Raw genomic sequence first — 13,569 nt, 5'->3', positions numbered from 1 at the left:
AGACTTTAAATGGTGTCAGAAGGAATGGGGAGTGAGGAATTAATGCAAATATATATTCTGAAGGAAGACTTTATTGGTGAAGGACAGGGGTATCTAAACTTTTGGCTTCCCTGGGTGACACTGGAAGAAGAAGAGTTGTCTTGGGCCACACATAAATACACTAATGCTAACGATAGCTGGTGAGCTAAAAAAAAAAAAAAAAAGAAAGAAAGAAAGAAAAGAAAAAAAAATCTCATAATGTTTTAAGAAAGTTTATGAATTTGTGTTAGGCCACATTTAAAGCTGTCCTCGGCCACATGCAGGCCGCGGATTGGACAAGCTTGCCATAGGATGTGGACTCAAGATTCCTAAGGTTTCCACTGTGAACTGAAGTAGGGAAAGAAAAGCTGGCTTTAAAAGGTGCGTTTTTGTTTGATCACTTTAGGCTTTGAAATGAAGGGAGCTCTTCTACAGAGAAATACTAGGCAACAATTAGAGACTCGGAATGAGTGACCAGTAGATAGATCAGTAATTGAGATAAGAGATTTGGAAGTTGTACACAAAGAGGTTTAATTGGCATCGTGAGTGTGGGAAGTGGGTTTAGGACTAAGTGCACATACTCTGGGGAATGTCCACAGTGAGGCGGGAGGCGGGAGTCAGCAAGTCTGCAGGACCCTGGGCGTGGAACAGACCTTTCAAGGGTCGATTTCCTCCCATCCTCTTAGAATTTTCTTTGGAGAGGGAACTAGGCTTTCAAAGATAACCCCCTTTTCCTTCATTTTTAGTGTTTTTAATTCTTATTTTTTCTCATCTTTTTCCTTTTTTTCATCCTTTCATCCTTTTTCCTTCCTTATTTTCTCGCCTCCCTCTTTCCTTCACTTCTTCCATTCCCTCTTTTATGTCTATGTTGGCTTCCTTTGTACTACTGTAGTGCAAAGATGCTTGGGAATTTAGCTGTAGGCTAGGGACAACCTTGCATGTAAGATGGTAGTGTAGATAGAAAGGAAAATATAGACAACCTTGGGAAGTCCGTGGTTCTGTTCTTTATTTTACATGCACAAGATTCTTTTGTCCCTCAAGGGTGAATCATTCCTCAAAATAGAAATAAAATGCATTTTGTTAAATGGTATTTACAGGCAGCTTATTACCTGAATGTGCACAAGTTTGGAAATTAACTTTCACTTGGATCTAGTTATATATAATCTCATAAAAGTGATTGTCATAAAATTACCTTTCCTTGTTCTCTAGTTTCTTGGTTCTGGAAGACCTGGGAAAGCTTCTCACATTCTTATGCAGTGATGTTGGGAATTGAAATCAGAGTGCTCTCCCCATCTCCAAATGCCCTTAGAACCACATTCCCTTAGAAACTGGAATTTAAAAGGTATATTTAAGATTATACCATTTTTAGTACGATATTTTAAATATTCACATTTGTTGCAAATATTGTGATCTTGTGAATATTTTAAATTATATCTAAGACATTTCATCATAGTTATTTTATTTTCAAAACCAAATACTATTTGGAAAATTAATGGAAATAGATGTATCTATTTTTTCATTGAGAATAAGAGGATCTAGTTATCTTCACAGATCTCAAAGAAAGAGTATCTTTTTGGTACTCTTATCTTGCTATTTGGTTTTCTTATCCTGCTATTATCTGGAAGTCCCTGACACTTACTTATTGTCTATGCAGCCAGGGTGGCCTATTTCTCACTGGCTTAATAGTTTTTTCATTCTTGCATGCAGTAAAATAGACTGCCCTTTTCAAAGGACATATGCCTACCCTCTAGGATTGCCTGCTCATCTCACCTTTCTTTGGTTTATCCCCACTAAGATATTTGGCACGGTCCTTTTCAAGAATCAGAATATTGCTGGGCACCATAGCTTGCATCTGTAATCCCAGCTACTCAGGAGACTGTTACAGGAGAATCACTTAAGGCCAGAATTTCAAGACCAGCCTGGGTAGCATAGCGAGACTCCATCTCAAAAAATTTTAAAAAGAAAGAATGAAAATACTCAAAGTCAACATGAGTTAACACATTTCTTGCCTTGATCAATTCGTACCTTTGTGTATTTTGTTTGTCAGTTACTGAAATAAGTATGTATATGTACTTGGTCATGGGTAAATTATAAAATAATGTAAAATTTTTTTAATATTTGAAATTTGTCTATAAGGAATTTACAATCTAATTACATGGTAATAACTTAGAACAGCAAACTGTTCCTGAAAGGCCAAATTCTGCCTCTTCCCGCTATTTTATAAATAAAGTTTTATTGGAATATAGCCACACACAGTCACTTACCTACTGTCTACAATTATTTTCATGCTACAGTGGCACATTTAAGTAATTTTGGCAGAGATTGTATATCCCACAAAGTCTAAAATGTTTACTGTTGGGTCCTTTATAGACAAGAGTTTTCTTGACTCTTAGCTTAAAAACACTGATGTGTAAGTCAACTGATGCCCAATGACTTGCCCAAGGTATGTGGATAGGCAGTTTCAGATTAGCTACAAATATATATAAAATATTTTATGCTTACTTGAGGAAGGGTAAGGCTTAGAGCCAGAAAGGCATGGATTGAAATCTCTGCTCTTCTCTTTCATTCTTGTATGACTTTGGACAGTGGCTTAAACTCAGAGCCCCAGTTGCCTCATCAGAAAAGTGGGCTCACTAGCTATCTACTTCCTGGGTCATAAAGATGTGATGAAATAACACACAATATAGTATACAATATAGGTACAATATAGTACCGAAACATACCAGCATGTGGTAGTTTTTCTTGGTTGGCTTCATCCTCTGGGAAAGACAGGTCCTTATAGCTCTAGGTTTACGCAATTCTGCCAGTTGAGATTTAAGAAACTCTTGTTCTCTCTCCCAGCATCATTTCATCTTCTGAAAAAGGATCCTGATTTACCCTGCTCAGGTCACATGTCCACCTCTGGGCCAGTCACTGCCCCATCAGGATCCTATGGCCTGATGGAAGGGTGTGTCCCATCAGAAAGGAATGAAGACAAAAAAATGACATTTCACAGCAGTGTACTTACCTTTGTTTGATCTTATCATTTGGCTCCTACCCAATCTTTGCATATATTCCAGCTTGAGATAAAAATTTTCAAGAGCTAAGGCCTAGAACATATGTGGCATTTTTTTTTTATGGCCAGTTGCAATGGTGCAGGCTTAAGGAGCAGAAAGGCCCCTTTATGTAACATCAATAGTGGCAACAGCAGCAGTTTATTTAATTCCTCTGATATGTTTAGAATTCTGTAAAAGACGCAGCCTGTGAGATTCTTAACTTTCCATCAACCTTGACAAACAGTAGGGGTGATTTTCACATAGCCAACACACCCCTGTATATATACACACCCAGGGTTATGCACAATTCACTGCATGCTGATATATTAGATTTCTCTTCCACTAAGAAAGCATATGGGAGTGCAAGGGAGACTGACAATATTACAGATGACCTTGAATCTGCTCAGGAAAAAGCAATCATAAAGCACTAGGCAACTTTAGCACTTTATTATAATTAAAAAATTACTAATGACATACCTCATCACTGATCATAATACTCTGGGGACCTGTGTCATGGCAACTGAGAACCACTACCCTGGAAGAATTTGGAGTCACCTTAGGATGATGAGAGAGACTTTTAAAATGAGTGACAATACAAGGTTGAGTGCCCATGAAATAGAACTGGCATCTGGAACAGCTGAAAGTGTGAGATTCTCATAGATAGAGGATTAATGTGTTTCTGGGCCTGTGTTAGTTATGGGTCTCTTGTTATAAGAAGCAGAGACTCCTGCCAGTTAACATAAGCAAAGAAGGACAACTTATTTTAAGGATGGGGTGGTATCCTATAGTACTCCATCATCTGAAACAACATCTTTCACATATTAAGTATGTAGTAAATATTTGTTGAATAAATGCATCATCTCAACCAGAAAGTCATTAGAAACCCAGAAAGTATTCTGTCTCCAGGTTTTTCCTCTGCTTCTATGTGCATATATCTTTTTTCCCTTTTCATCCCTGCTACTGGCTTCTCTGTTTCCCAGTCCACATGGCAGCACATGGCCACCCATGGATGGCACTTGAGTTTATACTATTCAGTTTTAGTTGTATAATGAGGCTGACTTGACTTCCTCATGCCCAACTCTAAATTCTGAAAAAGAGAGAATGTGATTGCCTGATGAGAGCTAGTGGCCCACCTGTGACACAAACATGGTGACCAGCAGTTCTTCCCCAGGACCCTGTGGCTCTGGGGTGGGGGTATGGGCAGCATTCTCAAATGCAAAGAAATTAATTTCAGACTAGGAAGAAACTCCCAAGAGTGTCCACTATGAGCCCAATCAGATAGATGTCATAAAAAATTCTAAAGCTAACTCTCCATGTACCAAGACAGGATTTTCTGGGGATTGGTGGTTGAAGCTGGAGTCAAAATAGTTCAGCCTCCTGATCCTGGGTAGAAGTCAGCCATACTCTTCTTCTAGGGTAATTATCACTCATGTTCTATGCCAGCCAAGAGAACACAGAATTGTCTTTAGCGAAAGTGTCAATTTGAGGCTTCCTAATTTTCATGATAGCAGCTACTTGGTACTGAATAATAATGGAATTCTATTCCTGGACTTCGTGATTCCATCTCTGAGCAAATGCAAAGCAGATCTTGGCAGGTATATCTATATATGATCAGCAATGCCAAGGCACTTCTTGCTGCTAAAGCAATGCAGCAGATGTGAGTGACATTTTTAGGCCGTTTGTGCTGAATGTAATAATGTTTTAATGTGGAATGCCTCACATATTACTCTTGGGAGATGGCTTGAATTGCTAGAAAGGGTCAATAGGTTTATATCCTAGTTAGGTAATTTGCTACCTCTGAAATATCAGGCAAATTTCCTAACCTTTCTGAGTTTTGGTTTTGTTATTTGCAACATGGAGATAATGATATTTTGGGAGGAAAAAAGAACATACAAATAGATGCCTTATATACTATACACAAAAATAAATTCCAGGGGAGGCAGAGCAGGATGGCTGAGTAGAGACTTCCACCAATTATCCTTCCTGCAGGAACACCTAATTAAACAACTGTCCACACAAAGAGCACCTTCGTAGGAACCAAAAGTAAAGTGAGTTGATGACAGTACCTGGTTTTGACTTTATATCACTGAAACAGGCACTGAAGAGGGCAGGAAAGACAGTCTTGAATTGCCTACACCACTTCTCTCTCATTCCCCTGAGGTGCCCATGTGGTGGGGAGAGAGAATCTGTGCCCTTTGGAGAGGGAGAGCACAGTGATTGTGGGACTTTACATTGGAACTCAGTGCTGCCCTGTCACAGTGGAAAGCAATACCAGGCAGAACTCAACCAGTGTCCACAGGGGAGAATTTAAACCAGCCCTAATGGAGGGGAATTGCCCATCCCAATGGTCAGAGCCTGAGTTCTGGCCAGCCCTGCCACTGTAAGCTAAAGGGCTCTGGGGTCCCAAATAAACTTGAAAGGCTGCTTAAGCCACAAGGACTACAGTTCTTGGGCAAGTCCTAGGGCTGTGCTGGGCTTGTAGCCAGTGGACTTGAGGGGCATGTGACCTAGGGAGACAATAGCTGAGGCAGCCAAGGGAGTGCTTGCACCACCCCTCCCCAATCCCAGAGAGAGGGAGAGAGAGAAAGAGAGACAGACAGACAGACAGACAGACAGACAGAGACTAACTCCATTTGTTTGGGAGAAAGTAAGGGAAGAGAATAAGGGTCTTTCCTGGTAATCCAGGGAATTCTTCTGGATTTTACTCAAGACCACCAATGTGGCACCTCTACAACAAACACAGCATTACTTGTTTGGGGTGCTCCCTAGTGCAGATGTGGCTGCAATGATCCAAAACTTAGATCACAACACCTAAGTCCCCTCCAATACCTGGAAAGCCTTCCCAAGAAAGATGAGTACAAACAAGCCCAGACTGTGAAGACTACAATAAAGACATAATTCTTCAATGCCCAGACACTGACAAGCATCAGTGTAATCCAGGAAAACATTACCTCAACAAAAGGACTAAGTAAGGAACCAGGGACCAATCCTGGAGAAACAGCGATTCCGGGTAACTAAAAACAGATATGTGACCTTTCAGACAGAGAATTCAAAATCGCTGTGTTGAGGAAACTCAGCCATATACAGGATAACACAGAGAAGGAATTCAGAATTCTATCAGATAAATTTAATAAAGAGATTGAAATAATTTTTAAAAAATCAAGCAGAAATTTTGGAGCTGAAAAATGCAATTGACATACTGAAGAATGCATCAGTGTCCCTTAACAGCAGAATTGATTGAGCAGAAGAAAGAATTCGTGAGCCTGCAAACAGACTATTTGAAAATACACAGTCAGAGGATACAAAAGAAAAAGAATAAAAAAGAATGAAATATATCTACAAGATCTAGAAAATGCCTCAAAGGGGCAAATCTAAGAGTTATTGCCCTAAAGAGAAGATAGAGAGAGAGGGGGATAGAAATATTATTCAAAGGGGGTAATAACAGAGAACTTCCCAAACCTAGAGAAAGATATCAATATTCAAGTACAAGAAGGTTATAGAACACCAAACAGATTTGACCCAAAGACTACCTCAAGACTTAATAATCAGACTCTCAAAGGTCAAGGATAAAGAAACGATCCTAAAAACACCAAGAGAAAAGAAACAAATAATATAAAAAGGAGCTTCAATGTATCTGGAAACAGACTTTTCAGTGGAAAGCTTACAGGCCAGGAAAGAGTGGCATGACCAATTTAAAGTGCTGAAGGAGGAAAAACTTGTATCCTAGAATAGTATATCCAGCAAAAATATCCTTCCAACATGAAGGCAAAATAAAGACTTTCCCAGACAAACAATAGCTGAGGGATTTCATCAACACCAGACCTGTCCTACAAGAAATACTAAGGGAAGTTCTTGAATCTTTAATCTGAAAGAAAAGGACATTAATGAGCAATAAGAAATCGTCTGAAGATACAAAACTCACTGTTAATAGTAAGTACACAGAAAAACACAGAATATTATAACACTGTAATTGTGGTGTATAAGCTCATATCTTGAGTAGAAAGACTGAAAGATGCATCAATCAAAAATAACTACAACAACTTTTCAATACATAGTACAATACGATATAAGTAGAAATAACAAAAAGTTAAAAATGGAAGTGGGGTGGGGAATAACAAAGTTAAAGTATAGTTTTTATTAGTTTTCTCTTTGCTTGTTTGTTTATGCAATGAGTGTTAAGTTGTCATCAGTTTAAAATAATGGGCAATATCATATGCAAGCCTCATGATAACCTCAAGTGGAAAAACATACAACACGCATCAGAAGGTACATAAGTCTGGGCCTCTGTATCCATTTATGTGTGTGTGTGTGTGTGTGTGTGTGTGTGTGTGTGTGTGTTTGTGTATCAGTCTACATAGCTCAATCTAAACTGATAGTAAAGTGAAAGGAACATTGTAATATAATGCCAGGTATTTTTAAATATATTACAGAGGTAACTAAATAGTAAATAGTATCTGTAAAATCTACAGGTAGGGAGAAAGGCAAGGAAAGCATTTTAAAGATTTTATCTTATATCAGGAGAGGAGGAAAGCTGTAAGGGAAAAGAAAACAGATAGAGGGGGTGTGGGCAGGGAATGAGGACATATTTGGTATCCTATATCCTAATAGAAAATTAGCATGGTTACCAGGATAATCACTAGTGGAATGGAAACAGAAAAGTAGAACTTAGAAATTAACTTGGGTACAGGGGAGGTTCCAAGATGGCCGAATAGGAACAGCTCCAGTCTACAGCTCCCAGCGTGAGCGACGCAGAAGACAGGTGATTTCTGCATTTCCAACTGAGGTACTGGGTTCATCTCACTGGGGTTTGTTGGACAGTGGGTGCAGGACAGTGGGTGCAGCCCACAGACCATGAGCTGAAGCAGGGCAAGGAATTGCCTCACCCGGGAAGTGCAAGGGGTCAGGGAATTCCCTTTCCTAGCCAAGGGGAGCCGTGACAGAAGGCACCTGGAAAATCGGGTCACTCCAACCCTAATACTGCGCTTTTCCAATGGTCTTAGCAAAGACCACACCAGGAGATGATATCCTGCACCTGGCTCAGAGGGTCCCATGCTCATGGAGCCTTGCTCACTGCTGGCACAGCAGTCTGAGATGGAAGTGCAAGGCGGCAGCATGGCTGGGGGAGGGGCGCCCGCCATTGCTGAGGCTTGAGTAGGTAAACAAAGCAGCTGGGAAGCTGGAACTGGGTGGAACCCACCACAGCTCAAGGAGGTCTGCCTGCCTCTGTAGACTCCACCTCTGGGGGCAGGGCATAGCTGAACAAAAGGAAGCAGAAACTTCTGCAGACTTAAACATCCCTGTCTGACACCTTTGAAGAGAGTAGTGGTTCTCCCAGCATGGAGTTTGAGATCTGAGAACGGGCAGACTGCGTCCTCAAGTGGGTCCCTGACCCCTGAGTAGCCTAACTGGGAGGCATCTTCCAGTAGGGGCAGACTGACACCTCATACAGCCAGGTGCCCCTTTGAGACGAAGCTTCCAGAGGAACGATCAGGCAGCAACATTTGCCATTCTGCAGTATTTGCAGTTCTGCAGCCTCCACTGGTGATACCCAGGCAAACAGGGTCTGGAGTGGACCTCCAGCAAACTCCAACAAACCTGCGGCTGAGGGTCCTGACTGTTAGAAGGAAAACTAACAAACAGAAAGGACATCCACACCAAAACCCCATCTGTACCTCATCATCAAAGACCAAAGGTAGATAAAACCACAAAGATGGAGAGAAAACAGAGCAAAAAGCTGAAAATTCTAAAAATCAGAGTGTCTGTTCTCCTCCAAAGGAATGCAGCTCCTCGCCAGCAGTGGAACAAGGCTGGATGGAGAATGACTTTGACAAGTTAAGAGAAGAAGGCTTCAGAATATCAGTAAAAACAAACTTCTCCAAGCTAAAGGAGGATGTTCGAACCCATCACAAAGAAGCTAAAAATCTTGAAAAAAACATTGGATGAATGGCTAACTAGAAAAACGGCATAGAGAAGAGCTTAAATGACCTGATGGAGCTGAAAACCATGGCACGAGAACTACATGGTGCATGCACAAGCTTCAGTAGCCGATTCGATCAACTGGAAGACAGGGTATCAGTGATTGAAGATCAAATGGATGAAATGAAGCAAAAAGAGAAATTTAGAGAGAAAAGAGTAAAAAGAAATGAACAAAGCCTCCAAGAAATATGGGACTATGTGAAAAGACAAGATCTACGTCTGATTGGTGTACCTGAAAGTGACAGGGAGAATGGAACCAAGTTGGAAAACACTCTGCAGGATATTATCCAGGAGAACTTCCCCAACCCAGCAAGGCAGGCCAACATTCAAATTCAGGAAACACAGAGAACACCACAGAGATACTCCTCGAGAAGAGCAACTCCAAGACACATAATTGTCAGATTCACCAAAGTTGAAATGAAGGAAAAAATGTTAAGGGCAGCCAGAGAGCAAGGTCGGGTTACCCACAAAGGGAAGCCCATCAGACTAACAGCGGATCTCTCTGCAGAAACTCTACAAGCCAGAAGAGAGTGGGGGCCAATATTCAACATTCTTAAAGAAAAGAATTTGCAACCCAGAATTTCATATCCAGCCAAACTAAGCTTCATAAGTGAAGGAGAAATAAAATACTTTACAGACAAGCAAATGCTGAGAGATTTTGTCACCACCAGGCCTGCCCTAAAAGAGCTCCTGAAGGAAACACTAAACATGGAAAGGAACAACCAGTACCAGCCACTGCAAAAACATGCCAAATTGTAAAGACCATCGAAGCTAGGAAGAAACTGAATCAACTAACAAGCAAAATAACAAGCTAACATCATAACGACAGGATCAAATTCACACATAAAAATGTTAACCTCAAATGTAAATGGGCTAAATGCTCCAATTAAAAGACACAGACTGGCAAATTGGATAAAGAGTCAAGACCCATCAGTGTGCTGTATTCAGGAAACCCATCTCACATGCAGAGACACGCATAGGCTCAAAATAAAGGGATGGAGGAAGATCTCCAAGCAAAGGGAAAACAAAAAAAAAAAGCAAGGGTTGCAATTCTAGTCTCTGATAAAACAGACTTTAAACCAACAAAGATCAAAAGAGACAAAGAAGGTCATTACATCATGGTAAAGGGATCAATTCAACAAGAAGAGCTAACTATCCTAATTATATATGCATCTAATACAGGAGCACCCAGATTCATAAAGCAAGTCCTTAGAGACCTACAAAGAGACTTAGACTCCCACACAATAATAATGGGAGACTTTAACACCCCACTGTCAACATTAGACAGATCAACGAGACAGAAAGTTAATAAGGATGTCCAGGAACTGAACTCAGCTCTGCACCAAGTGGACCTAATAGACATCTACAGAACTCTCCACCCCAAATCAACAGAATATACATTCTTCTCAGCACCACATCACACTTATTCCAAAATTGACCACATAGTTGGAAGTAAAGCACTGCTCAGCAAATATAAAAGAACAGAAATTATAACAAACTGTCTCTCAGACCATAGTGCAATCAAACTAGAACTCAGGATTAAGAAACTCACTCAAAACCGCTCAACTACATGGAAACTCAACAACCTGCTCCTGAATGACTACTGGGTACATTAACGAAATGAAGGCAGAAATAAAGATGTTCTTTGAAACCAACGAGAACAAAGACACAACATACCAGAATCTCTGGGACACATTTAAAACAGTGTGTAGAGGGAAATTTATAGCACTAAATGCCCACAAGAGAAAGCAGGAAAGATCTAAAATTGACACCCTAACATCACAATTAAAAGAACTAGAGAAACAAGAGCAAACACATTCAAAAGCTAGCAGAAGGCAAGAAATAACTAAAATCAGAGCAGAACTGAAGGAAATAGAGACACAAAAAACCCTTCAAAAAATTAATGAATCCAGGAGCTGGTTTTTTGAAAGGATCAACAAAATTGATAGACCGCTAGAAAGACTAGTAAAGAAAAAAAGAGAGAAGAATCAAATAGATGCAATAAAAAATGATAAAGGGGATATCACCACCGATCCCACAGAAATACAAACTACCATCAGAGAATGCTATAAACACCTCTACGCAAATGAACTAGAAAATCTAGAGGAAACTGATAAATTCCTGGACACATACACCCTCCCAAGACTAAACCAGGAAGAAATTGAATCTCTGAATAGACCAATAACAGGCTCTGAAATTGAGGCAACAATTAAGAGCCTACGAACCAAAAACAGTCCAGGACCAGATGGATTCACAGCCGAATTCTACCAGAGGTACAAAGAGGAGCTGGTACCATGCCTTCTGAAACTATTCCAATCAATAGAAAAAGAGGGAATCCTCCCTAACTCATTTTGTGAGGCCAGCCTCATCCTGATATCAAAGCCTGGCAGAGACACAACAAAAAAAAGAGAATTTTAGACCAATATTCCTGATGAACATTGATACAAAAATCCTCAATAAAATACTGTCAAACAGAATCCAGGAGCATATCGAAAAGCTTATCCACCATGATCAAGTGGGCTTCATCCCTGGGATGCAAGGCTGATTCAACATACACAAATCAATAAACATAATCCATCATTTAAACAGAACCAAAGGCAAAAACCACATGATTATTTCAATAGATGCAGAAAAGGCCTTTGACAAAATTCAACAAATTTCAACAAAAGTCACGCTAAAAACTCTCAATAAATTAGGTGTTGATGGGATGTATCTCAAAATAATAAGAGCTATTTATGACAAACCCACAGCCAATATCATACTGAATGGGCAAAAACTGGAAGCATTCCCTTTGAAAACGGGCGCAAGACAGGGATGCCCTCGCTCGCCATTCCTATTCAACATAGTGTTGGAAGTTCTGGCCAGGGCAATCAGGCAGGAGAAAGAAATAAAGGGTATTCAATTAGGAAAAGAGGAAGTCGAATTGTCCCTGTTTGCAGTTGACATGATTGTATATTTAGAAAACCCTATCATCTCAGCCCCAAACCTCCTTAAGCTGATAAGCAACTTCAGCAAAGTCTCAGGATACAAAGTCAGTGTGCAAAAATCACAAGCATTCTTATACACCAATAACAGACAAACAGAGAGCCAAATCATGAGTGAAATCCCATTCACAATTGCTTCAAAGAGAATAAGATACCTAAGAATCCAACTTACAAGGGATGTGAAGGACCTCTTCAAGAGAATTACAAACTACTGCTCAACAAAATAAAAGAGGACACAAACAAATGGAAGAACATTCCATGCTCATGGTTAGGAAGAATCAATATCGTGAAAATGGCCATACTGCCCAAGGTAATTTATAGATTCAATGCCATCCCCATCAAGCTATCAATGACTTTCTTCACAGAATTGGAAAAAACTACTGTAAAGTTCATATGGAACCAAAAAAAGCCCACACTGCCAAGACCATTCTAAGCAAAAAGAACAAAGCTGGAGGCATCACGCTACCTGACTTCAAACTATACTACAAGGCTACAGTAACCAAAACAGCATAGTACTGGTACCAAAACAGAGATATAGACCAATGGAACAGAATAGAAGCCTCAGAAATAATACCACATATCTACAACCATCTGATCTTTGACAAACCTGAGAAAAACAAGCAATGGGGAAAGGATTCCCTATTGAATAAATGGTGCTGGGAAAACTGGCTAGCCATATGTAGAAAGCTGAAACTGGATCCCTTCCTCACACCTTACACAAAAATCAATTCAAGATGGATTAAAGACTTAAACATTAGACCTAAAACCATAAAAACCCTAGAAGAAAACCTAGGCATTACCATTCAGGACATAGTCATGGGCATGTAGTGGCATGTGCCTGTAGCCCTAGCTACTTGGGAACCTGAGGCAGAAGATCCCTTGAGCCCAGGAGTTCAAGAATGCTGTGTGCTATGATTGCATCACTGCACTCCAGCCTGGGCTACAGAGTAAGTCCCTGTCTCTAGGGAGAATGACTTACCTGTAAGACCTGAAACTATAAAAATTCTACAAGAAAACCTAGCAAAAGCTCATCTAGATATTGGCCTGGGAGAATAATTTGTTATTAAAACCCCAAAAACAAATGCAACAAAAACAAAAGTAGACATATGGGACTTAATTGAATGAAAAAGCTTCTGCACAGCAAAAGAAATAATCAACAGAGTGAAGAGACAACCTACAGAATGGGAGAAAATACTTGCAAAGTATGCATATGACAAAGAACTAATATACAGAGCTTATAGGGAACTCAAACAACTCAACAAGAAAAAACAAGACAAAAAAACCCAAATAACCCTATTAAAAAGTGGGCAAAGCATTATCCTAAGTGAACTAATACAATAACAGAAAACCAAATACCAGGTTCTCACTTATCAGTGGGAGCTAGACATTGAGTACACATGGACACAAAGAAGGAAACAATAGACACTGGGGCCGACTTGAGGGTGGAAGGTGGGAGGAGTGTGAGGATTTAAAAACTACCTATCAGATATTATGCTGATTACCTCAGTGACAAAATTATCTGTACACCAAACCCCTGTGACACACAGTCTACTCAT

At 40.1% G+C, this 13,569-nt stretch overlaps 1 protein-coding gene across 12 annotated transcripts in view, besides 1 other annotated feature; it reads left to right on the top strand.

The window, feature by feature from the left end:
* The window catches only part of SAMD12 (sterile alpha motif domain containing 12), a 490,139-nt gene that overhangs the window by 78,129 nt on the left and 398,441 nt on the right, over positions 1–13,569 (top strand). The window lies entirely within an intron of this gene.
* Positions 7,626–8,125: an enhancer, noted in NCBI's record as "H3K4me1 hESC enhancer chr8:119547949-119548448 (GRCh37/hg19 assembly coordinates)". NCBI's record gives its function as "activates a minimal SCP1, AML or CMV promoter by ChIP-STARR-seq in primed H9 embryonic stem cells {active_cell/tissue: H9 hESC(primed)}" and the evidence as "EXISTENCE:reporter gene assay evidence [ECO:0000049][PMID:30033119]".

Source organism: Homo sapiens, chromosome 8 (genome assembly GCF_000001405.40).
Source record: "Homo sapiens chromosome 8, GRCh38.p14 Primary Assembly".
Classification (NCBI taxonomy): domain Eukaryota; kingdom Metazoa; phylum Chordata; class Mammalia; order Primates; family Hominidae; genus Homo; species Homo sapiens.
The sequence above is the reverse complement of the archived record's forward strand: the minus strand, read 5'-3'. Positions and strand labels throughout refer to the sequence as shown.